This window comes from Homo sapiens, chromosome 7 (assembly GCF_000001405.40).
Source record: "Homo sapiens chromosome 7, GRCh38.p14 Primary Assembly".
NCBI lineage: Eukaryota > Metazoa > Chordata > Mammalia > Primates > Hominidae > Homo > Homo sapiens.
This window is the reverse complement of record NC_000007.14, coordinates 9,639,521-9,667,414: the sequence shown is the minus strand read 5'-3', so window position 1 is coordinate 9,667,414 and position 27,894 is coordinate 9,639,521. Positions and strand designations below refer to the sequence as shown.

Sequence of the window (27,894 nt, the reverse complement as noted above, 5' to 3'; positions counted from 1 at the left end):
GCAGGTGAGATGCAAGGTTTGCTAGTGTTTTGAGCTTACAAACTGAATTTGGGTTTTGAAGACAGTCTGTCTTGCCTGCTTCAAAACTGATTAGACCTGAGGACATATGGAACTAACCACACCCTTAACTAAGAAGGAAAAGTTTGGCCTCAGTTATCACACAATTAAAGCAACTTACCAAGTTTTACCTTAAAGTTAAAAATTGCGAGGAGTTACCATTATAACATGTAATTGAGACTACTGGAAATAGATTTACAATCAAGGTATGTAAAAACAGTAAAATGTGTGTGTGTGTGTTTGTAAAAGGTTATAAGAAGGCATGGGAATACTTTGGCCTAGGATTAAAGGATTGTTTTAATTTAAATTAGGAAAAGCTGAAAGTTCAAACAAGTGGAGGAAGCATTGCGGAAATTAATCTTGCAGAAGAGGTTCTTTGTGTGAACATATTGACCAAATTCAAAAAAGGGTATTATATGTTTTTTTTTCTGTAAATTGAGCATTGAAATAAAAGCATAACAAGCTTTTCCTAAGGCACTAATCTGCTCTTTGGCAAAATTTGTAAAAGGTTATAAAAGGTTTTTGCTTCTTAAATTTCTGAGTAATCATTTTGGCAAAATAAATAACTTACGGTAATCTGGAATTCTATTTTATAATATCAAGTGTTTAAAACCTCGAACATTTAACAGCCTTCCCAAAATCAAACTTCAGTTTCAAAATTGTCTTCCCTGGCACCTGGCTTTTTGAATACTTCAGAGGGCCTCTGAAGTGTCCAAAAAAGAGAGGTAAACAGGATTATTTGCCATGTTCAGGTACATGGGCTTGCCAAAATGATGTTCAGTCTTCTTTAGGTTGTATCTTAGTAAATAATGCTTATATATGTTCCAAAATTGCATGAGATTTCTAAAGTTCTAATGTCTAAGTATAAGCTGTCAATCATAATTAAGGTTGTTAATGCTAAGTTATTATAAACCACAGAGATAACCAAACTTGTTTGTCAATTGTGTTTCTAACTGTACTTGCCCTGAACATTTTGCTATTCACAGATAGTTGTTGTCTTGTTTTAATCATTTTCAAAGATGGTTTATAATGAGCTATAGAATTTTAACAAGTTCTCTCAAATGCAGGCTTTTGATAACTTCAGAGATGATAACATTGGAATAAAGGAAAATGTACAGGACTCATGAAGAGCTGAAATGTTCACAAATAGTAAGCAAAACAACAGTTAACTAAATGAACTGAACTCAGCAACCTGAATCAAACTTTTTGACTACTGTTTGGAATATTGCTAATCCATGCTTTGTTTTTCAGAGTCAAGGAAACTTATTTTTAAGTATTTATGGCCTTAAATAATTAAGTAAAGTATATGCTCTCATAATCAAGATTTGAAGCACGTTTGTTTCTCTCTGCCTGGTTCCTCTAGGATTTGGACCCTACCTGTGAGTATTCTTATGGCAATATAGTTGTTTTCATTAGTGCAATAAAAATCTATTTTTCTTTTGCAACAGGACACAATTGTAGAAAGTAGTTATTTTACCAAGACTTTGACTGGAAGGGTATGCTGCCCTTGACTTTAAGGAGTCAAGCTCTACTTACAGAGCTGATAAAATTCCCATGAGAGACTGGGCTCATGCCCTCATCTACACAGTCCCTGTACAGGGTTCCTGACCTGTGGTCAGTAAAGAATGTCACTTTCTAACAGGCCTAGGAGCTCCAAGTTTACCTTGGGATCTTAAGAGGAAAGAATCATCCAACTCACAGGTATTTGAGGATAAACCCATGGCTGGGCATAGCTTTAAAAGGCCTTCCTTATGGAACAGACATCCATCACAGCCAATCCGAAAGGCCTATGAAGAAATAATTATTCTTGCTGCACTGTATGCAAATAATCAGGCAAGTTTAAGACAAAAGTCTATTTTGCAAACCATTTAGTTCCATGATGATTTTTTTTTAACAAAAATGAGGACTGGAGAGAGAAAAATTATATTTCAAAACTTGTACATTTGTCATTAAATTCTAAACTCATTAGTTGTTTTTAAGTTTTCACCTATTTTAGCCTAACCCTGCTTGATCCTGTAAATCACCCAGCAATCCCTTGCTGAAGCTAAGAAAGAACAAGAGGAATGGGTGATGTAGAAATCTGGATCAATATTCTAGCTCTGAGCAATTATCCTGAAAATCCTGCCAGGCGATTGGAATAAACAGGATGCCGACGCCTCAGAGGTTTCCTTTTGGGAAAGTAAAACCAAGGGAGCTAGCCAAAGCACCCAAATCTTAGCAAGCATAACTATAGTGACCAGTTATCTGAATGCATCATGAAACATCCTCCCTTGTTGGAGGAGGACTCAGTTCCACAGTTTCACCTTAGCATTTGGCTTATGATAAGGAGTCCATGCAATCCCCCAGGAGACACATTTTTGTCTGTCCCAGACTCAATTCCAAGCTTTGGGTCAAAGCCCTAGGAAAAAAAACTGGATCTAAGGGATCCAGAGGCAGATGACAACAGAGTTTAAAAGGCACAGCGCAGGTAAGCATGGCTGATTCCTGCCAATTAAGCCAACCCCAAGCTTCCTGTTTCATGGATAAAGGCCATGTTAATATCCATGGCATAAATGAGGTCTAGGGAACTCCAAGGCTACTGACAGTAGGTGGGAGAGAGACATAGGTAAGAGTAGATAATTTCTGTTCTCTAGGCCTCTCTGCTTCATGGGTGAAAGATGCTTTGGCACTCATGGCAGGATGTACCAAGATCACCAGGACTCGGGGATGCAAGGATGGAAGGGGGGAAAGAGGACACTCTTCCCTTTCTTCCTCACTTACACCGAGTATCTGCTAGGAAGAGAAGGGAACATATCTGCTAGGAAGAGAAGGGAACCAGAGATGCCTGCTCCCCTCTTTCTAGATGGGTAGCCATTCATCTCTAGTCTGTACCCTTTTTAATGCATCCTGAACTCCTGGAACAGCTTTGCAAAAATATCCTCTTTCTTCTTCTCTCCTTCTCTGACCTCTCTTCACTGATAGGTACTTGTGTCTCCATACTACGGGACACTTCCCTCGGATGCATCTTCCAAACTGGAAAGAATTAATTTCCCAAACCTTAAACTGGTTGGCTTCAGACTGGGCTCAGGGGAAGGGAATCCAAAAGCCCAACATGCTGGCAAAAAGGTGAAATATTTTGCCAGTCAGGCTTTTAGCCTCCCTCTCCCTGTGGAAACTGGTAAAAGGCCTCAAAATTGTTGAGCTGTCCTTACCTCCTCCTTGTTTCATTTTGGTACATGTTTTCTAATAACCCGTTTTGTCTGTTCTCTGGTCCATCAAACTCCACACAGTCATGCAACTAGAACCTCTGACAATGACCCCTTCCGCTGGGAACCCTTAAATAGGCCTCTGAGGGAGCTCTGACTGCCATTTCCCCCAAACAGTGCCCCCTCTCAGCAGGAAGCAGTTATGATTAGTCTTCGTCCTTATCCTTAATCTAATGGTAATTAGATGTACTTCTTTTGAGGGGGGAATGAGACAGCCAGATGGGAGAGGGTCCCTGAAGAAACCTCAACCAGCCCGGACTCCACTGGGGTGGAGTCTCAAAAAGTTCATGACATTTGCAGCAGGGAGGGGCCTGGACCCTCCTCTTCCTGTGTGGAATCTGAGATTCAAATGGCCTTGCAGGAAGCCCTCTAGCAGGGACTCTGCTTGGCCAGAGTCCCTGTTTCCCCCTTTTCTTCCTTTTCACCCAGTAAAACCCTGCTTTGCTCACCCTTCAAACTGTCCGCGAGCCTAAATTTCCATGGCCATGGGACGGACAAGGACGCCGTCTTTGCTGAACTAAGGAAAAGTCCTGCGCCACCACACCTGGCTAATACTTATTTTTAAAATATGTCTAAAGGTTAACTCTAAAAAATTATACCTATTATTCATAGATCTAGTAGAAAACCAGAAGCACTTTTTTTTTTTTTTTGAGACAGAGTCTCTGGTGAGCTCTCTGTTCATTATTGCCTCCACCTCCCAAGTTCAAGCGATTCTCCTGCCTCAGCCTCCTAAGTAGCTGGGATTACATGTGCACACCCCCATGCTGGACTAATTTTTGTATTTTAAGTAGAGACAGGGTTTTACCATGTTAGCCAGGCTGGTCTGGAACCCCTGACCTCCAGTGATCTGCCCTCCTCCACTTCTCAAAGTGCTGAGATTACAGGCATGAGCCACTGCACCTGGCCCAGGAGCACATTTAAAGTGGGTGACTGAAGAGTTTAATTAAGGTATTAATTTCAGGCTAGGTATGGTGGCAAGAGGATGGGCTCAGTCCAGGAGTTGGAGGCTACAATCACTCCAGAGAACTGCGTTCACTCCACTCAGTCATGTGAGCTATAATCACGCCAGTGTACTCCAGCCTGGGCAACAGAGTGAGGCCCATGAACCCCTCCTGTGGTAAAAAACAAACAAAAACAACCAACCAACCAAACAAGCAAAAACAAAAAATGATATTACTTCCAGTGTTTTTAAAAGAGCTTACAGAAACTGATAAAGGGTGTTGGCAAATACCATCCCTTTCTATGTAGCTGCAGTAGTGAGAGACCAGTGACCCTAGGGCAAAGAGGACTGGGAGGTTTGCTTAATGAAAGTGTAATTGCATGAAGAGGACTGAATAAAAAAAAGCTTTGGCATTCAGTAGAAAAACCTAGCAAATCTTCGTTTTCCCTTATGGGCCAATCTGTGACTGGTGCCTCCTATTAGCACAACATAACTGGAAGCCAAAAGGCAAGGGAGCCAGTTGATGTGGCTTGCATAGGTCAGCTTCCTGGCATATGGAGCAGGATAGAGAGTGGAAGATGAGTCTGGAAAAACAAATGAAAAACATCCATATATATTATACAAAAATATCCAATAATATTATACTAATCGAGAGTCCAATTTACTAAAATCTAATTACTTTTAGTGTCAAGCCTAGTGAGTAAAAGAGGTAGTGAAATAGATTCTGCGTTGCAACAAAAGTGAGGAACTGAGGCAATTCCAGACCAGATCACATTTGACCAATGTAATTACTTTAACTGGTAATACACATTAATATGTTTAATAACTAATAGGCTTTATAAGTTGCATTGTCTTATTCACGTGTGTAATCAGTAGAGAATTTAAGTAATGTAGTTGATGTAATAGCAACTTCTTACATTGTTTTTAAGATGACTTAAATGGATATTTCCTTCAAACTCACTGAAAAGTTCTAACATCCAATATTCTAAATTTTAAAATGCATAGCGGCATTGTGTCTGTAAAACATTGCTAGGCAAAAGTTAAATCCATCAACCTCCAGAATTTTGAAAAGGAATGTTTTAAGCTAGATTGTCTAAGTAGGGTTATATATGACTTTTATTAAAAAGCCAATAATTAACTAGTTCACTAGTTCACTATTGGTCTAGCAGGCATAAATGCTCCCACCTCCACTATAGACAGCACAAGGAGAGTCCCAGATGTTTGTCTCCTAGTTGTAAACCAAGAATGCACTTGCTGATAGCACAAGAATGGAGAAAAACCCACAGCGCTAGTGTTGTCTTCTCAGGCATCCACAGATATGCAAGGCTAATTGGTAAATCAAAAGAACATATAATGTATTTCTGGGTAGAACCTACATAGCTGAAACGTAATCCTTGCTAAATTCAAAGCAAGAAGCAGGAAAGGGAATTTTATCCATTGTTATTTTACTACTGGTGGTCTAGGACTTGTATAAGCATGATCCGAGTCCATCGAGTCCATTAGGAAGAAAATCTCCTTTCCTTTATTACAAATATTTTTAAATACACCTAATTATCTTTCTTAAAACAGAAAAAAAAAATGATAGAATTTTTTTTGTCAATAAAACAGCATAGATTTTATGTGGGAAAGCACTGAAATATCCGATAAATGATACATTGGAATAAATGGGAAATATTAAGTTTTGTGTCTCATTACTTGTGAATTGATTATATTTTTGTTGCCTAGGTATACTTTTTAACCTTGAACTCACCCATTGATAAAACAGATGAAAGTTACAAATTAAATATTAGAGGAAAACAATATGATTTAAAAGCCCTTCCTAGACATCTTGTAGTGAGTGGGTTTTAAAAGGAGGCTTCTGGGATATAAAGTAAAAATGAATTTTGACAATTGATTTTTCCAATGCTTACTTCGTTTCAGCATTTCCCACTTTCCATACCCCAGTTTGTCATTGAAGCCTTTATATTCCAAGGACATTTCTGTAGAGCTAATAGGGCTCAGGACTCATGTTATTAAAACTCTGCTTGGTTTTACTTTTCACTATTGTAGTCTCTCCAGCTATGGCTGTCACTCATTAGAGCCCCAATGTGCTGCATAAGGCAATGCTTTGTAAACAAGGTACAGGGGGTCAAATGCTATGTTACCAGTGAGGAAAGCAAAGAGACAGCAGAAAATCAAAGAGATATACTGCAGGGAACAATATATGTGTCATAAAGTTTGGGGTTGTGTGGTGTTTAAATGAACTTGCTTAACATTCAAATCCCCAGAGTTTTTCACTTGGGGCATTTGCCAGTGAGACTATCGCTCATTGGCACATACTGCCTTCTCTAAAGCTTCCCCTTGTTTCCCACGAACCTAATAGTGCAGACCTAGAGCAAGGCATCCAACAAATCACAAAGCATGTCTGCATTCTGCTATGTATCAAAGTCTCTTAATATGCCAACAAAGTTCTCCAAGGTCAGGAAAGCAGTTTATCAACATTTTATATACCTTATAGCAGCAATAAATTTATTCCAGTGGAGGATCTATGAATATTTCAGATGCTCTATGAGAAAAATTCTATGTCTTTAGATAGTCTGTGTATCCCAGAATTTGGGCACAAGACACAGTCATTTTTCTCTTACCATGTTTTTATTGTTATTCAGTTCCAGTTAATGTAAAGCTATTCAGGTACTTTCTATAATATATGCTATTTAATAATATGATTTTTATTTAGAAATTAAACACTTTGATATTTTGTACATTAAATTTATTTTTTATTCATATTCTGAATATGTGCTGTATTAAACTTTTAGTTCAAGAAATAGGTTTCAAATGGTTTTCTCAAGCATCCCACAGAAAATTAATTTTCATATTTTGAGTTTTGCCTATTTGTTTTTTCCTCTTTATCACATTATAATTTATACTCAGAACAACTATAATACAGTCAGGTAAACATACATGTGCATTTGGCTTTAGAGCAGCATGATTTATAATCCTTTGGGTATATACCCAGTACTGGATGGCTGGGTCAAATGGTATTTCTAGTTCTAGATCCTTGAGGAATCGCCACACTGTATTCCACAATGGTTGAACTAGTTTACAGTCCCATCAACAGTGTAAAAGTGTTCCTGTTTCTCCACATCCTTTCCAGCACCTGTTGTTTCCGGACTTTTTAATGATCGCCATTCTAATTGGTGTGAGATGGTATCCCATTGTGGCTTTGATTTGCATTTCTCTGATGGCCAGTGATGATGAGCATTTTTTCATGTGTCTTTTGGCTGCATAAATGTCTTCTTTTGAGAAGTGTCTGTTCATAACCTTTGCCCACTTTTTGATGGGGTTGTTTGATTTTTTCTTGTAAATTTGTTTAAGTTCTTTGTAGATTCTGGATATTAGCCCTTTGTCAGATGGGTACATTGTAAATATTTTCTCCCATTCTGTAGGTTGCCTGTTCACTCTGATGGTAGTTTCTTTTGCTGTGCAGAAGCTCTTTAGTTTAATTAGATCCCATTTGTCAATTCTGGCTTTTGTTGCCATTGCTTTTGGTGTTTTAGACATGAAGTCCTTGCCCATGCCTATGTCCTGAATGGTAATGCCTAGGTTTTCTTCTAGGGTTTTTATGGTTTTAGTTCTAACATGTGAGTCTTTAATCCATCTTGAACTAATTTTTGTACAAGTAAGGAAGGGATCCAGTTTCAGCTTTCTACATATGGCTAGCCAGTTTTCCCAGCACCATTTATTAAATAGGGAATACTTTCCCCATTTCTTGTTTTTGTCAGGTTTGTCAAAGATCAGATGGTTGTAGATGTGTGGTATTATTTCTGAGGGCTCTGTTCTGTTCCAATAGTCTATATCTCTGTTTTGGTACCAGTACCATGCTGTTTTGGTTACTGTAGCCTTGTAGTATAGTTTGAAGTCAGGTAGCACAATGCCTCCAGCTTTGTTCTTTTGGCTTAGGATTGTCTTGGCAATGCTGGCTCCTTTTTGGTTCCATATGAACTTTAAAGTACTTTTTTTTCCAATTCTGTGAAGAAAGTCATTGGTAGCTTGCTGGGGATGGCATTCAATCTATAAATTACCTTGGGCAGTATGGTCATTTTAAAAGAGAATAAAATACCTAGGAATCCAACTTAGAAGGGATGTGAAGGACCTCTTCAGGTAGAACTACAAACCACTGCTCAACGAAATAAAAGAGGACACAAACAAATGGAAGAACATTCCATGCTCAGGGATAGGAAGAATCAATATCGTGGAAATTGTATTTCTTAAGTTGTTGGATCTCTATCTCATTCATCCTGTCTACCATAGGACATTAAAAATGAGTGAAAAGTATTAAAAATTATCTAAAACTCAGGTTGTAGTTGATCTACTGTCAAGAATAAAATATATATTTACCCAATAAATTTGTACAAAACAAACTCACTTGTGTAACTATTACCCTGTTCTTAAAACAGAACATTTCCAGCACACTGGAGTCTCCTTTTATGTCCTTCTTCCAATTATTATCCTTGTCTTCTCCAAAGTTAAACTGTCTTTTAAAACACTGTGTATCTTTTACCTGTTTTGGACTTTCATAAATAGAATATTGAAGTATGTATTCTTATCCATCTGGCTTCTTTCTATCAATATATTTATGTAGCTCTATTTTTAGTTGGTTTTACTGCTCTATCATATTCCATTAAATTAACATTTATTTATTGTTTGTAATGTTGATAAACATAGGTTGATTTTAGCTTCTATTGTAGATAATGCTGCTGGAAACATTTCTGTATGTGTTTCTTCAAGTACTTGTGCACATATTTCTGTGATGTATATATTAATAAATAGCGTAGAACTGCTAGGTCTTAAGGGCTACATATACTTAACCTGAAAGTCAAACATTTGTCTAAAATGATTAGAACAATTCATATTCTCATTGTTCCATGTCTTCACAGACATTTGTCTGTTAGCTATTTTGGTATAGCTGTAGTGCTATCTCATGTGGTTTCAATCTTCATTTCCTTGATTATAACAAGGTTGAGTATCTTTGTGTTTGCCATTTTGTTGTCCAATATTTTCTAGTACCTAGTCAAGTCTGTTGTGAAATTTTCTTTTTCCTTTTTTTAAACATTGATAGGTAGGTGTTTTTCATACCTTATGGATATAGGCATGTATTTCAAATATCTTCCCTTATTCTGAGTTGTCTTTTCACATTCTTTGTGATATATTTTGATGCCTAGATTGTATTAATTTTAGAGAAGTCCAATTCGATAATCTTTTTTTCATGAGAAGTATACTTTTCCTCAATACAAATCTTTTTATCCTATGGAAATGATGTTATTACATATTAGCATTACTCTTTCTCCTTCACATTCAGAACTGTGATCTACCTATAATATCAGATAAGGCAACATTTTTTAAAACATTTTTTATATATTTAGTAAAAGTTTTATTTTTCTATATTTAAGAGCCACTTTTTTGGTCATAGTTTTATGTTTGTCTGTTTCACCCTTTCTATTCCATTCTGTTGTTTACTTTGCCTATCCCCACAGCAATACTATACTTAATTATTAAAGCTTTATGATTCCTTATATTTTATAGAGCAAGTCTTCCTGCATTGTTCTTCCTCTTCCAGATTATGCCAGATATCAGCTAATTACCTCTCCGTTTCAAATTTGCCCCTCAGTACCTGCGATAATGAGTTGGATTGATGCATTTCAGTTTTGCAGTAAGCTCCATATTAAGCTTGGTCAGTAGAGGGCATGAGAGGGATTTAGGAAGAATAGTTTGATCTGGTGTACTTGCTCTTTTAAAACAAGTTTTCCAATTTTCCAGTCTGTGTCTTTTAATTGGAGCATTTAGCCCATTTACATTTAAGGTTAATATTGTTATGTGTGAATTTGATCTTGTCATCATGATGTTAGCTGGTTATTCTGCTCGTTAGTTGACGCAGTTTTTTCCTAGCATTGATGGTCTTTAAAATTTGGCATGTTTTTGCAGTGGCTGGTACTGGTTGTTCCTTTCCATGTTTAGTGCTTCCTTTAGGAGCTCCTGTAGGCAGGCCTGGTAGTGACAAAATCTCTCAGCATTTGTTTGTCTGTAAAGGATTTTATTTCTCCTTCACTTATGAAGCTTAGTTTGGCTGGATATGAAATTCTGGGTTGAAAATTCTTTTCTTTAAGAATGTTGAATATTGGCCCCCACTCTCTTCTGGCTTGTAGAGTTTCTGCCGAGAGATCAGCTGTTAGTCTGATGGGCTTCCCTTTGTGGGTAACCCGGCCTTTCTCTCTGGCTGCCCTTAACATTTTTTCCTTCATTTCAACTTTGGTGAATCTGACAATTACGTGTCTTGGAGTTGTTCTTCTCGAGGAGTATCTTTGTGGTGTTCTCTGTATTTCCTGAATTTGAATGCAAGGACTTCATGTCTAAAACACTGAAAGCAATGGCAACAAAAGCCAAAATTGACAAGTGGGATCTAATTAAACTAAAGAGCTTCTGCACAGCAAAAGAAACTACCATCAGAGTGAATAGGCAACCTACAGAATGGGAGAAAATTTTTGCAATCTACTCATCTGACAAAGGGCTAATATCCAGAATCTACAAAGAACTCACACAAATTTACAAGAAAAAAACAACCCCATCAACAAGTGGGCGAAGGATATGAACAGACACTTCTCAAAAGAAGACATTTATGCAGCCAACAGACACATGAAAAAATGCTCATCATCACTGGCCATCAGAGAAATGCAAATCAAAACCACAATGAGATACCATCTCACACCAGTTAGAATGGCACTCATTAAAAAGTCAGGAAACAACAGGTGCTGGAGAGGATGTGGAGAAATAGGAACACTTTTACACTGTTGGTGGGACTGTAAACTAGTTCAACCATTGTGGAAGTCGGTGTGGCAATTCCTCAGGGATCTAGAACTAGAAATACCATTTGACCCAGCCATCCCATTACTGGGTATATACCCAAAGGATTATAAATCATGCTGCTATAAAGACACATGCACACATATGTTTATTGCAGCACTGTTCTCAATAGTAAAGACTTGGAACCAAGCCAAATGTCCAACAATGATAGACTGGATTAAGAAAATGTGGCACATGGCCGGGCGCAGTGGCTCACGCCTGTAATCCCAGCACTTTGGGAGGCCGAGGCGGGTGGATCATGAGGTCAGGAGATCGAGACCATCCTGGCTAACAAGGTGAAACCCCGTCTCTACTAAAAATACAAAAAATTAGCCGGGCGCGGTGGCGGGCGCCTGTAGTCCCAGCTACTCGGGAGGCTGAGGCAGGAGAATGGCGTGAACCCGGGAAGCGGAGCTTGCAGTGAGCCGAGATTGCGCCACTGCAGTCCGCAGTCCGGCCTGGGCGACAGAGCGAGACTCCGTCTCAAAAAAAAAAAAAAAAAAAAAAAAAAGAAAATGTGGCACATATACACCATGGAATACCATGCAGCCATAAAAAAGGATGAGTTCATGTCCTTTGTAGGGACATGGATGAAACTGGAAACCATCATTCTCAGCAAACTATTGCAAGGACAAACAACCAAACACCACATGTTCTCACTCATAGGTGGGAATCGAACAATCAGAACACTTGGACACAGGAAGGGGAACATCACACACCAGGGCCTGTTGTGGGGTTGGGGGAGAGGAGAGGGATAGCATTAGGAGAGATACCTAACGTAAATGACGAGTTAATGGTGTAGCACACCAACATGGCACATGTTTACATATGTAACTAACCTGCACGTTGTGCACATGTACCCTAGAACTTAAAGTATAATATATATATATATAATTAAAAAAAAAAACTTTTCCTCTTTCTCCTGTGAGGCTGAAGCAGTTCATGTGAAGAACATGCAGTTGTGTACTGCCCCAGGCATGAGCTCAAAGGGGCCAATCCTTAAGCAAACTCTCCATCCCAGCCTGACCTTGCCGTGGCTTTCCTGACCTATATACCATGCGCTCCAAACCTCATGTCTCCCTGTTTGCACACAGACTCTTGACTTCCTCTGCACACATTCCCTTTAGGTTCCCGATGACTTCTGGGCACCCAACCGCCATACTTGGCTACCTACACTCCCTTGAGTTGTCTCCTGTAGAGCTGAGTGCAGTCACTGCATATTTTATATCTCATGCTGGCCTGCCAATGAGTGGGCTCACACATACTGAGCTCTCTGCATATTCTCACATCAGCCTTCTCCATGTGCACCTCAATACCCTCTACACTCCTGTCTGACAGCTTCAGTGTACATTTACTCCAGAGTGGACATAAGCTGTCCACTTATTGTGGATCAGCTCTGGCCTGGCACCCAGTGAACTTCTCTGCTATTCAATGAGCTATATAACCTATTTTCCATGGAGATACGAATGTAAGCCTTGAAGAGATTGCCCTTCTCTATTGTTCAGTCCTAGTGTATGCTAAAAACATATTTACCTGGTTAATTGCCCTGGCTAGAACCTCCCATACAGTGTTGAATAGAACTATCAAGCAGGGAAATCATGTCTTATTTCTTATCTTCGAAGGAAAGCTTTCAGTCTTTCATGATTATGTATAATATGACCAATGGGTTTTCCACAGATATTTGTCAGATGGAGGAAATTTCTTTCAATGTCTAGTTCATTGACTGTTTTATAATAAAAGGGCATTGAATTTTTTCTAAGGCTTTTAAATATCTATTGAGATGATTGTTTGGTGTTTGTTCATTATTCTACTAATGTGGCATATTAAACCGACTGATTTTTGTATGTTACAACATCATTGTATTCCTGAGATAAATCCCACTAGGTAATTGTGTCTTATCCTTCTTATATTGCTAGATTTAGTTTGTATTTTGTAGATGATCTCTGTATCTGTAATCATAGAAGATATTAATCTGTACATAGTGTTTTGGTTTTTTTCTCATTATGTCTTTTCCTGGTTCAAGTGTCATGGTAACATGGCCTCATAGAAAGAGTTCTACTTTCATTCTATTTTGGACAGATAACATAAGTTTTATGATTTATAAATTTTCAAATGTATACAGGAGTGACTTATGACTATGGTCTATTCTGGAGAACCATATGCAGTTGAGAAGAACATGTATTCTGTCATTGGATGTGATATTTCTATGGACGTCTGCCTTAATATTTTAGTGTTTTAAAAATCTGTTTTGATTTCTCTTTTACACGACTGATTTTGAGATGTGTGTGTGTGTGTTTGTGTGAACATGTACACATGCATATGTGAATTTTTTACCAGTCTTACCGTGGTAAGTTTCATCACAAGTATTTTACTTATATTTATATTTTCAAATAACCAAAATTTTTTCTACTTTGTTTTAAACTATATTTATTTTCATTTAAAAAAAAATCTGTTCTCAGTCCAGATGCAGTGCCTCAAACCTATAATCCAAGCACTTTGGGAGGCACAGGAAGGAGGATAGCTTGAGACCAAGAGTTTGAGAGCAACATAGGAAGACCCCCTTCTCTATAAAAATTAGCCTGGCGTGGTGGCCTGTGCCTGTATTCCTAGCTATTTAGGAGGCTGAAGCAGGAGGACTATTTGAGCACAGCCTGGGCAACACAATGAGATCTTGTCTTAAAAAAAAAAAATTTTATATATATATATATATATATATGCTTTCGTTTTTAGTATTTTGTTTCCTTTGGTTTGGGGGGGCTTAAGTTTCTACTTCCTTTCTTTCTAAGTACTTGAGTATGCTTAATGTACTGATCTTAAACCTCTTCTCAAATACATTTGTTTATGACTATGAATATCACTCCAAGTGCACGTTTATATTTCCCCAAATGTTTTATATGTAATATCTTTACTATTTACTCAACAAGTTTTTCTAATTGGCATTGTATCTACTACTTTAACCTAAATAGTTATTTAAACATGTATTTAGTAATTTAGAACTTATAGACATTTTTTAATGTTCATTTTGTTTGGATTTCTAGCTTATAACCAATTTGATCAGAGACCATCTTGTATGACAACAATTCTTTGAAATGTTGAATTATAATGTAGCACATCATTAGTTTATGTAAATCATTCTTGTGTACTTGAAAAAGATAGGCATCCTACATTTGTTGAGTATGGTAGTATATTTATATCGATTGAATAAATTTTGCTTAAGAGGTTGCCCAAATTTTCCATGTAATTATTGATTTTATTGTTGTCTGTGTTTGAATACTTACTGTTTTCCAATATAATGCTGTTATTTATCTGTCCTTTACATTCTGTCAACTTTTATTTTATACATTTTGAAGCTATATTTTAATTGCACATAGATTTGCAATCTTACTAGCGAAATACAAATTTTGTTAACTTTTTCATGATTAAATTTGGACTATGAATACTACCAACGTCATAAGGTTGTTGTCAGGATTAGATAAGTTAATATGCTTGAAGCTTTTTGGAGATTTCCAGGTGCATATTAAGTACTATATTTAGAATTCCTATATTTTCACACTCACAAAAATGTTTAAAAAATAAAGTTAAAAGTAAGCACTTCGAAAAATTTTCTCCCATTCTGTAGGGTGCCTGTTCACTTTGATGACAGTTTATTTTGCTGAGCAGAAGCTACTTAGTTTAATTAGATCTCATTTGTCAATTTTGGTTTTTGTTGCAATTGCTTTCAGTGTTTTAGTCATGAAGTCTTTGCCCGTGCCTATGTCCTGAATGGTATTGCCTAGGTGCCTAGGTTTTCTTCAAGGGTTGTTATGGCTTTAGGTTTTACATTTAAATCTTTTTTAATTTTTCTTTGAGATGGAGTCTTGCTCTGTCGCCCAGGCTGGAGTGCAGTGGCCCAATCTTGGCTCACTGCAAGCTCTGCCTCCCGGGTTCATGCCATTCTCCTGCCTCAGCCTCCCAAGTAGCTTGGGAATACAGGCGTCTGCCACCACGCCCAGCTAATTTTTTGTATTTTTAGTAGATACGGGGTTTCACCATGTTAGCCAGGATGGTCTCGATCTCCTGACCTATTGATCTGCCCACCTCAGCCTCCCAAAGTGCTGGGATTACAGGCATGAGCCACCGTGCTCGGCCTACATTTAGGTCTTTAATCCATCTTGATTTAATTTCTGTATAAGGTGTAACAAAGGGGTCCAGTTTCAGCTGTCTGCATATGGCTAGCCAGTTTTCCCAATACCATTTATTAAATAGGGAATCCTTTCGCCATTGCTTGTTTTTGTCAGGTTTGCTGAATATCAGATGGTTGTAGATTTGTGGTGTTATTTCTGAGGACTCTGTTCTGTTCCATTGGTCTATGTGTCTTATTTTCTACCAATACCATGCTGTTTTGATTACTGTAAACTTGTAGTATAGTTTGAAGTCAGGTAGCATGATGCCTCCAGCTTTCTTCTTTTTGCTTAGAATTGTCTTGGCTATAAGGACTCTTTTTTGGTTCTATATGAAATTTAAAGTAGTTTTTTCTAGTTCTGTGAAGAAAGTCAGTGGTAGCTTCATGGGAATGGCTTCGAATCTATAAACTACTTTGGGCAGTATGGCCATTTTCATGATATTGATTCTTCCTATCCATGAGTATGGAATGTTTTTCCATTTGTTTGTGTCCTCTCTTATTTCCTTGAGCAGTGGCTTGTCGTTCTCCTTGAAGAGGTCCTTCACATCCCTTCTAAGTTTTATTACTAGGTATTTTATTTTCTTTGTAGCAATTGTGAATGGGAATGCACTCATGATTCGGCTTGACCCAGCAATCCCATTACTGGGTATATACCCAAAGGATTATAAATCATTCTACTATAAAGAGACATGCATATGTATGTTTATTGCAGCACTATTTACAATAGCAAAGACTTAGAACAAACCCAAATGCCCATCAATGATAGACTGGATAAAGAAAATGTGACACATACACACCATGGAATATTATGCAGCCATAAAAGAGAATGAGCTCCTGTCCTTTGCAGGGACATGGATGAAGGTGGAAACCATCAGCCTCAGCAAACTAACACAGGAACAGAAAACCAAACACCACATGTTCTCACTCATAAGTGGGAGTTGAACAATGAGAACACATGGACACAGGGAGGGGAACATCACACACCGGGGCCTGTCGGCGGGTGGGGGCAAGTGGAGGGAAGAGCATTAGGACGAATACCTAACGCATGTGGAGTTTAAAACCTAGATGAAGGGTAGATAGGTGCAGCAAACCACCATGTCACATGTATACCTATGCAACAAACCTGCATGTTCAGCACATGTATCCCAGAGCTTAAGGTAAAATAAAAAAAAACAAATAAATAAATAAATAAGCACTTGGAAATGTTTTTAAATCACCAAATAATATTTAAGCAGATAAATCAAAATGAAGAAGTACAAGCACAGAGAAAAAAGAGCATAAAATTGACAGAAATAAGGCTAAGTATGTCAAAATGACATGAATATAATCAAATTATACTCCTCTGGCTATAAATGAAAAGAAAAAAATGGAGGTGAAAACATGTATAACATAGGCCTGTTGAGGCACTCACATCTGTAATCACAGCACTTTGGGAGGCCAAGGTTGGCGGATCGCTTGAGTCCAGGAGTTCAAGAACAGCCTGGGAAATATGGAAAGACCCTGTCTCTACAAAAAATCACAAAAATTTGCCAGGCATGGTGGCACACACCTGTAGTCCCGGCTACTGGGAGGCTAAGTTTGGAGGATTGCTTAAGCCCAAGAGGCACCCTGGAGCCTGAGAGGTGCCCTGGAGTGTGGGAGGCAAAGATTGCAGTGAGCTGAGATCACCATTCCACTCTAGCCTGGGTGACAGAGTGAGACCCTGTCTCAAAAATAAATAAATTAATTAAAGTAATATTAAAAAAAATATATATATATATATATATATATAAATGATGTCTAAAAAAGGTACTTCAAAATATTACCTGCAAAGTTTGTTTAGTTATTGACCAAACTGATTTTTCCTTCCTGAGAGTAGAGCAAAAGTATGTTTCCCAGCCTTCTTTATAGTTAGGTTTGACTACCATGCTACATTCTGGCCAATAGAATGAGAGTAGAAATGTTTGCCCTTTAAGATCAGGTGCGTAAAATCTTCTCAAGGGCACAGCACCATACCCTTTCCTCTTTCAGCCAGCTGATATCAGTGTCAGCAGAACCATGGTAGCCATATGGTGAAGACCATGAGGCAACAAGATGAAGAAATCCCGAGTTCCTGAATCACTGGTGTGAGAAGAGCTTCCCATTAATTAGGCAAACTAAATTTTACCTTTTCATACAAAATTAAAATAAAATTTTAATGTTTAAAGCCACTAAAATTTTAGGCTTTGTTTCAGGAACTATAATAGAATTATAGAAAAAGATTTGCCAGAAAATAACAATATAAAAACAAAACAAACAAATATGGTGTATTTATTTTATATAAAAAGCATAGAAGGAAAAAAATTTCATGGGCCATTTTATATTCATAACGTGTAAAATCCACAATGTGAACTGAAGTCATGAACCTTTACTGACTAAATAACAAAATTACTGTTTTGTTAATATATAAAACAAATCCCAATAGCAGAAATATAAAGAAAAATGTGAAAGTGAGATTATTACAGGATAATTTAACAACTCAATTGAAATTCTATTGAGCACGTAAAGGAGTATTAATCAAAATTGATTATATAATAAACTGCAAATAAAATCTCATTAAAATAGTAAATGTATGGATCCATTTGCTGACTATTATCCAGTACACATTGGAACATCAAGAACAAAACCTAATATTTATAAATTTATTAAAATACCTTCCTACATATTTATCAATAAAAGGTGAAATTAAGCCTATAATTACAGATTATTTTAAAAGCTTAAAAATATTTCATTAATTTTAGCACCTAATTATTGATAAAAATAAAAAAAGCAATCAAAGAGCATTTCTTTCATGTAATAAAAAGAAGGCATCTCAATCCAATAAGTGTGTGTAATGTTGGAAAGTAAAACAACACAATTTCAGAATTAAAAATGTGAAGTAGATAAATGCCATCATCAGTATCCCTAACTCATAAAACAGAAATAATAAACAATTAGAAATACAGAGAAAAAGATTTCATTATGTCTGCTAATATCTTTGCATATCTAGGTAGCATAAAAGAATCCATTAACTATTTTTAAAATTAATGACAGAAGAATAATGTTTCTAGAATGAATAAAGAAGCAGGAATCAACAGTTTTCCTATTTATTTGTAATTCTCGTAAGAAGATTTCTGTTGACAGTAGCAATGAAACAAATGAAAACCAACAAATAGGATTTTTGAAGAAAACTGAAGATGTGCTTAAAAATTTACACAAAGTTTGTAATGAGTATGCACTGATACCTTTTTCCTGGATGGATTAAATGTGTTTTTACCCACTTTACATTAATTTTTGATTTCAGAGAATTTTTTCTCAAAAAATATACATATTTTTTAATATTTAGAAAAGGCTACATTGGGTTAAATTAAAATAATTAAGAATGAGGAAAGTTTAAGTCTTGTTTTGAGAAGAAATGAAGGAGAATATACTTTCATAAATTCATGGTGGGATTATAATATGGTGCAAAATTTCTGAAGGCAATCTAGAAATATCTAATCAAAATCCTTAAAAATGCACATAAATTTTTCATCTAGTAAGTCTATTTCTATGAATATTCAGGGTCCTGTTTTTCATAGGGGAAAATTTCAAAACAAAGTGAAGCCCAAAATGTCAACAATAATTGTGTCATTAATTACATAAAAGTGTCATATTCTTCTCTGTAGCTTTAAATTCTCTACAATGACATTTTCTTCCTGTTGGGAAGATCAATATAATTAATTTTTTTAAAAATTTGTATTATGTAAAGCCACAAAATAGAGGTAATATATATTTGTCAGCACCTGCTAATAATGTTTATGTGTGATTATCTTGCTCAATCATTGTTGTGAGAAAAAACAAAAACAAAAAAAAAGGAAAAGCAAGCCAGTCTGAGGAAAAATACTTTCAATGAATAAACTGACAAAAGAAGAATATAAAGAATATTTAAATGAATTTAAAAAGTAAAAAAATGAACGTATAAATATAAACAGGTAAATAACATAAGCAATACATTCAAGAAAACTTTAAGAAGTCATGTTATTAAAATAATTTAAAAGATTTTCAATTTCATAAATCATGAAAATAAAAATTAAAGATAGAAGTCTATTTTATAATCATAAAATTGGCAAAAATTAAAAAAGTCTGACATCGGACATAAGAAAGAGTTTATAGCAGTGAGAACTCTCATACCTGGACAATGACAGGAAAAAAGATACAGTAATAGTAAAAGCATGTATCACTTTTATCCAAGTCTATCTCTTCTATCCAGGGAAAATGCAAGCCCATAAACATCTATTCAAGTATGTCACTGTACCTTCTTTTTATTTGAAATAGACCCACACTGAAAACTACCCAATGTCTATAAAGAATAGAATGAATAAACTGTTGTAGTCAACATATGGACTCTACAGATAATGTTGGGTAAAAACCAAGAATTGCAGAATATATGAATTATGAAGGCTCATATGCCATTTAAAAACATGCGATGCACTACTACATATTTACAAATCTGCATCTATGTCTATCTATCTATAATTTAGAGATGCATGAAATAAAAGTAATAAATGTTTTTAGGAATTATATAAAATGCCAAATAGGGTGGTGGTTACATTTTGGCAGAAAATGTAAAACTGGAATTAGAATTGAGGGAGTAAGATGAAATCGCCAACTGCAATTGCAATGTGTTATTCCTCTTATAAATGATCTGAAGCAAATACAGTAAAATGTTACAGTCTGAAAAATCTAGGTGTGACTTTCAATGTGTTAATTTTTTATTTTCTTTAATTTTCTAGCCTCTTTACTTTTTACAGAAAAACAAAGAAAAATAAAGGCAAAGTCCAGTTGAGCTCTCCTGGCCAGAATATGACAATATAATACTTAATCAGGTCATAGCATGGCTTCTAGAGACCAGCATAAAGTAAAATGACAGTGTTCTAACGGATTATAGAGAAATTTTAATTTATAGAATCTGTGTTGATAATCTGAGTATTAATGGTTGATATTACAAAAACATTTTATGAAGGGTTTCACTCAAGGAGGATTATTTATGAAAAGATTCCTGAAGCCATCCAACCACTCATCCAATCAGCTAGCCTTCTTTCTGTGCATTTTCTGAGGATCCACAATGGAAAGAAGGAATATAAATAGATCAAAAGAGAAGTAGTAACATAATAACTTATTTTAGCACAAACCCTCTTTTATTGGCTAAGTAATAATTATGAGGTTAATATTATCATTTTAGTACTTCTGTGTTTAAGGTGCTATAATAAACAATATGTATGCTTTATCATATTTATTCAAATAATTCTATGAAGCACATGTGAGTGTTATCTATGTTTTATAATTGGGGAAATCAGTTTAAAAATATTTAGAGTGTGCCTTAGGTTACAATGCTGCTAATAGATCTAAACAATACTCAAAACCAGAAAGTCTGACTGTAAAGTCAACTATTTTAATATACCATTGTATCTCAGCTTGAAGTAAGCTATATTTATGAGGGTAATGAGAAGAAATAAGAGAGTACTGTAGACTATTGCATGTGTGTGTCTCAGGACATATGGAAAATTTGCAAGCATTATGACTGAACTCTGATACTGAATGAGATTATTTGATCCTTTTATTGTTGTTATGACTTCATCATGTTTCAAATTCTGGGATCTTTACTTTTTATTATCTGATCAAATTATTATTACTGTAGACCAGAAGATAGAGATGGATCTCATCTGTTTTAACAGTATCATCTAGTTGACATAGGAAAGCCACAAACTATTCACGCTAGAGCTGAGAGGTAGGAGGAATAATGAGGATTCAGATCCAAGGTAAAATAAATGAAAATATTTCAGTGCCAAAATCCCCAAACATAGGACAATGTTTACCATTCTGATTAGACAATGTATCATTTCTTGAAAACTGACATCGAAAATGCTTTGCAAAACAATGACACAGAAACCAAAACCCAGAATTTATTTCAGTGATGTGTGTGGCAGCCTTCGACTTTATAGTTCCAATTTGCCTACTAACCTAATAACACAGAGCAAAGGGTAAGAAATTAGCAAAGTAAAATGGCTCATTAAGTACTCACAGAGTCCCTTGGCAGTGTTAAAATCTTGCTATTTACTGTGTCATTGCCAAATGTTGTTCCCTTATCAGTAAGGAGGGCCATAGAAAATAGATCCAGTGAAAAGGAATGTGTGGACAGTCTTGTGCCATTAACCTCAACCAGCATAATCAGTCCAGCACATAACTGTGGTGGACTATCAAAACCATAACATTCCTAACAGGATATATCGCTTTTCCACCTAGAGAAGGACAAAGTGATAAAAGCCTAAGCAACAAATAACATAACCCCTGATAAATTAATGCTCTTCTTTTTGAAAAATAAAGTAAAAAATAGTACGAACAATACTAAGGAAGATGCAGTTAGACCTTTGTGGACTATCAAAGAAAGTAAAATGACAGATTTTCTCAAATCACTTAACTTTACAAGTGGCAAAACGTCATTTGCTGAAGGGGATAAAAATACATTTGTGAGAGGAGAATAAAAGTATAAAGTGTGATTTGAGAAATATAACTTCCTGGAAGGCTAGATAATCTGGACCCATAACTTTGATATTTACTACAAAAACAGATATTTCCTGAAAATCTGTAAATATGATGATGATAATAAAGTTGCATTGTTTTAAAAAATGCTTTGCATTTTTCATTCTGAAAATAATTTTGGTAAATTTAACAAGATATTATTTGTTACATTACCCAAATTTGAAGAACCATAGGTGATACTCTACATGCCTTAGAAATATTAAGGAAGAAGAAACTAAGGCAGAGAGAGAGTAAGTAATTTGTCCAAAGTTACACAGTAACCAGTAAGGCAACCTGAATGCAAGTACCATATTTACTCTCATCTACTACTTTAGAGGTCAATAAAAGTTTTCTGTAAAGGGTCAGATAGTAACTATTTTCAACGTGCAAGTTTTAAAGTTCTCTGTTGCAACAAGTCAATGAGGCTGCTGTATTATGAATGCAGAAATAGACATTCATAAATGAAGAGTCATGGCTGTGTTCAAGTAAAATTTTATTTACAAAAATAGGTAATATGCCAGATGAACAGTGGTGTGAAGACCTGTGTACTACTTAGTGCTACTTCCTCAGAGTAATATTCAGAAAACATTGCTATTGTAATAATTATCAGAAAGTATTTCTAAGATTTGTATTATTCACATATATTACCTGACATCTGTTTTATTTATATTACTGTTGAGAGGCTGTCTGTATGTGTTTTTCTGGGACACGGATAGATGAAAGCTCTTAATATAGATCTGAATTTATATCTCTTAGGATCTTATCCTCTTTGATATCCAGCTCAAATTCCTATGCACATACAAACTCAGATCAATCAAATCTATGCTGGAGTGACAATCATAGGATTTAGATGTCATTTATATCCTTACTACTTTCTTTATTATTACTTTCCCACTAAAAATGGAACAGAATAAAACGACAGAACTACCATCCTTGTAGTAATTACAGATAATCTTGAAAATGCCTTACTGTAGTTTGAAATAACATGGAAATTTAAACAAGTAAATAAATGGTATTCAAACACAGCAAATGCACTCTTCTTTTCAATAACCTATTTTGAGTGGTATTCTTTCCTATCACTGTCAGAACAAGTATAATCACTTCAATGTGACTAGATTTATGTCAATTACTTACAAAGTATTGAGATAATCAGCAAATCCCTCAAACATTTCCTTAATATCAACTGCCATTTAATGGAAAATATTTTCTGTGAGATATAAAAAGGAATTTAGTATCCCCCTGGTTATGACAGGGGAACATTAAGATTTAGCTGCAGAATTTTAACAGGACTTTGCCAGGCAGTACTAGGAGAGTCATGGAATTGGTGTTCCTAATGCTTATATTGGTATCCTGTGGGTAGAAGAAAGAGTAAATGCCAACTCTTCTTTAGTGCGGTCTCCAGTAGCTCTAAGAGAGCCTTTGCCAGTTCAGTTTAGAGTCACTCAGCAATAGCAGAATTTCCGAAATGCTGTTTTTTTTTCTCATTTTTTCTTCATTTATAGAAGAGAAAAAGATGCTGCATAAAAAAGTTTCTGTTGTTATTGTTTTTAAGACAATGATATTCATTATGGAAATTTATTTATCTCCATCCAATAAATTAACTTTTTTGTGGGGGAGCTTTGTTGTTTACATACAGGCTGTGTAAGTAATTGGGTTAGTGGCATCTAAGTAATTATATATGTGTTAGCATTGATGACTGAAAGGACCTCTCTTAAATGGATTATTGAAAATAAAAGGCAAATCTATCGTCCTTGAATTTTATAAATGATTTTTAAATTACCATTTCATTCAAAAAATAATATATGTAAAGTACAGTCAGAATTATTAATAGTGATATTAATATAATAGTAAGATTAGTAAAACCTAACACATCATTGCCCACCTTTGCAATAGAATATGCCAACATACTTAAGTCCCTTTCTGAATGCATTTCTCTCTCTCCCCTTGCCAGAAACAACCACTCAGCTGAATATTCTTTTTATTACTCTCTTGTTTTTCTTCATAGTGGTGGCTATAGATCTTGACTACACATTGAAATTATCTTGGGGACTTCAAAAATACTGATGTCTAAGAGCCACCCTCAGTGCCTCTGATTTAATTGGTCTAGAGTACAGCCTTCAGATTCTGTGGTTAACTGATAGGATGACATTATTTTCCACACAAAGTCTTAGCTGATGAGAGCTTTGTGTAAAGAATAGACAAGCATTGTAAGACGCTCGACTTAGCTCTCCTCAGATTCCCTTATAAAAGAACTGATGCCAAGGCCATGATGCATTCACTACAAATCTCTTTCAAATAAAAACACATGAGCAATTTGGGTTCCTATTTTTCCTCTTTACCCTACTTTTCTCTTCCAAACTCCTCATTTTTTCTTGTGACTTAGTTGTTATTATGGAGCATTTGGGGAATAGGAAAGTTGATTGGAAGAAAAAGCTGCCTTTTGAAAAAGTAGCAGCAGCTGATAAGCTGCCAAGTAGGAGAAGAAAAGCATGCAGGATCTTGCAAGACATGTTCAAAGGACTGGATGGACTCATGTAGACAAAGAAAATCACTGAAGCAATGTCAATGTGCTGTTAAACCAAAAAGAATACACCTATAATTAACAAGATGGGCTTATTGTTGCAATGAGGGGGAACACTCACCATGGGGAAAGGTGATTATCTTGATAACCGATATTAGGAAAAAACTATAGTAGGATTGAGCTCTTGTCAGGCAATTTTGAGTATCTAGGGAAGGCAGAGTTCATTCTAGATTAGGTTCTGTCAGAAAGAGGGGGCAATTCCACAGTGGGGTATCTCAATAAATCTTATAGGTTAGGCAGACTAGAGGAGGGATACAGCTGTCATTGGTAAAGAAGCAGCAGTTACTCATTTTAGCTGGGTCAGGGATTGTGTAGTATATTGTGGCTTAAGTAGTGACCTTGTTTTGGGTTACTTTATAATGATCTCAAAATGACCTTATCTGGTGTTTATGCTCTCTAAAATTGTTTATATCCAAAAGGAAAAACATGTGGCTTCACTGTGAGTATCAGGCTAGTTCCTGGATGTCAGAGTTGTTTGTTTTAGTTTCATCACAAAAGTGATGAAATTATTGATTTAACTAAAATAATGTGGAGAATGGTTTTGATTAAGAAGAGACGGAACAAGGAGACCAGGCCAAAAAAAATTATTTTAACAGATATTAAAATCTCTTTGAGTGCAAAAGATATAGTTGTTTAACATTATACAGACTCTAATTTTAGAGTTTGCATGAGATACAATCAACATTTCAATGTGATGTATTAACAAGATCTTTCTTAATTTATTCACAGTATTGAAATAAAATTTTCATTAAATACTGGTGATGTCAAGAATTTACATATTCTGAGGAATTAAAATAGAAAGCTGACCTTTTGAAACTGGGTTATTAAATATTTGAAACTCGGTTATTAAATATTTTTTATTTAACTATGTTTCACACTCCAGCTAAGCGTCTTAAATAAAACATAGTTTATATGTATATTTATCTGAGAATGGTAAATGAAATGTTCACTTAATGCACTAGCAATTCAGCAGCATTGGGATATTTTAAGAAGTTCATTGTAAGAACCTAAGATATTTGAAAATAGGAAATAGGCCATTCAGTTTAATAGAGCTTCTTTTCATCAGGAATATTAAATGCATTTTTCACATGGCAAATTAAGTGTATTATTATACTGGGCCATTTTGATACCATCTCACTATTGTAAAATAAAAATGCCTGAATGTATTTCTTAGGTTGAAATAGTCAAACTTTACATTTTATGCTTAACAGAATTTGGAAACTTGATTGCCACAGTTCATTTATTACAGAAGATTTTTAGAGAGAACTAGTGACTCATACACTCTTAATACTCTTATGTCACCGAACCATTTAAATAAGTCCGATTCTATGCATTAGTAAAAACATTAAGTTTAATACATACAGTGAAATTCCTTAAGTGTGGGAGTGTAAGGATGAGTAAACATCAGTGAAGCCTGAATGCACCTCTTGAAACTTCCCTAAAACTCCATATATCGGCTATTAGTAGCTTTCTTAGTTAAATACAGCAAGTGAGAAACATCTTGAAATCAAACTAAGGATTTGTTCTTTTTTTCTTTTCATTACAAATTGGTGTCATATACATTTTAGAGAAAGTTACATATTTAAAAGAAAAGCATAACATAAAATATTTGGTGGTGTGTTAACATAAACCATTTTGTATATGTTTTTCCTTTTACATTCACATTCATCAACAATTTTAAATCCTGGATCTTTGTGCAATTTATCAAATAAAGAAATGCAGTGTTAACAAGGACAGAAAACCAAACACCGCATGTTCTTACTCATAGGTGGGAATTGAACAATGAGATCACTTGGACACAGGGTGGGGAATATCACACACCGGGGCCTGTCGGGGGGTGAGGGGCTGGGGGAGGGATAGCATTAGGAGCAATACCTAATATAAATGATGAGTTGATGGGTGCAGCAAGCCAACATGGCACATGTATACCTATGTATCAAACCCGCACGTTGTGCACATGTATCCTAGAACTTAAAGTATAATTTTAAAAAAAAAAAAGAAAGAAACGCAGTTTTAAGATGGCTTCTGAAAACAGGAAATTCATCTGCCACCTACAGAAATAACTCTTGTTAACTTGGTCACGTTTTTACCAAATTAAGTGGTAAGGTAAGTTAGATATTCAGTAAATTCTGACCTAATATGGGGCAAAAATAACAATAAAATATTTATTCTATTACATGCTATTTTATTTCCTTCTGATGCTTTGTTCATCCTCCTAACCACTGTCTCTCTGCCTCTCTCTGTCTCTATTTTTCTCAGTTTCTGTTACTTTATCTCTCAATCTCTCTTTCAATTTTTTTTTGTTTGTTTTTTCCCTCTTCCAGAAAATCCAGGAAAGAAATATAAAACCACCGATGGTCATCAGACCTGTAATGTGACTCTGAAACAAAACGCTGTAACAGTTTATGTGCAAGTGGAGAAATACACAGCTCAAATCTGGAGAGCCAGCTCTGGAGGCCATGCCAGAATGAAATATCAAGCAGAAACTGAATGGAGAAGAGAAAAATGCAGCCCTGTCTGAGCAAGAGGGGAATGCAGATAAATGCCACTCTCAGAGAGAAAGCAAAGGGGGAGATATGGACACCATGTCTGAGACCTGGAGGAATTGAAATGAAGGTTAAAGAGGCTTTGAAAGAGACCAGAGCTATCAGCCTGGGGAAAGCTTTGCTTCAGGAAAGTTAGTGGAAGCACAAAGCATGTCAAGAATTAAAACTATCTCCAAAATAATTATTCAGACAATGGATGCTAAAACCAATGAGTTAATAGGACAGTTATACAATCTCAAAGTGTCTCCCCATAAGTTACATATTAATTAGAAAGGAAAAAGTGCCTTTACAGTGGAGTGATCTGATAGCCACCACAGTAACCAAGTAATCAACATTTTCATGACAAATAATGGGACACAATTAGTGTGACATGATACTCTGGGAAGATATCACTTTTTTGGTATTCCTGCCAAAAATAGCTGACTTGAATCTAATCTTGGGAAAATAATTAATAGTTACAAACTGAGGAACATTCTCCAAAACATTTGGCCTGTTCTCCTAAAAAAGAAAGTCAGCTTAAGAAAGACAAAGAAACTGTGCATGATTAAAGAAAACTTAAAAGGCATAAAATAAATGCAGTTCATGATCCTGGACTGTATTGTGGATCAGAAAAAAAAATCGTACAAATTGTGAATGGAGGCATTGTAAAAATTTTAATATGAATTACATCAAATAATATGTTATTAAACTTAAACTTGAATTTAATAATTGTACAAAATTAGGGAATATGATTTCTTTGTTCTAAGTTTGAGAGATGTGAGGTTACAATGCCCACTAATTATTTCAGCTGGCTCATAAAAATTATAATAGTATTAACAATTTGTAAATTTAGGTAAAAGTGTATGCCGTTTCAATGTTTTAGTCTTATAAATTTTTGGATGGAATATTTTTAAAAATTAAAGTTAAGCTAAGCACAGTGGCTCACGCCTGTA

General features: G+C 35.6%; 2 long non-coding RNA genes across 2 annotated transcripts in view; one reads left to right on the top strand and one right to left on the bottom strand.

Moving 5' to 3' along the window:
- The window catches only part of LOC105375148 (uncharacterized), a 147,709-nt gene that overhangs the window by 102,099 nt on the left and 17,716 nt on the right, over positions 1–27,894 (bottom strand). The window lies entirely within an intron of this gene.
- Positions 227–27,894, top strand: LOC105375145 (uncharacterized). Its single transcript, XR_927021.2, has 4 exons — positions 227–466; positions 1,125–1,206; positions 1,309–1,436; positions 26,741–27,894. It is a non-coding gene; the product is annotated as an uncharacterized LOC105375145 (long non-coding RNA).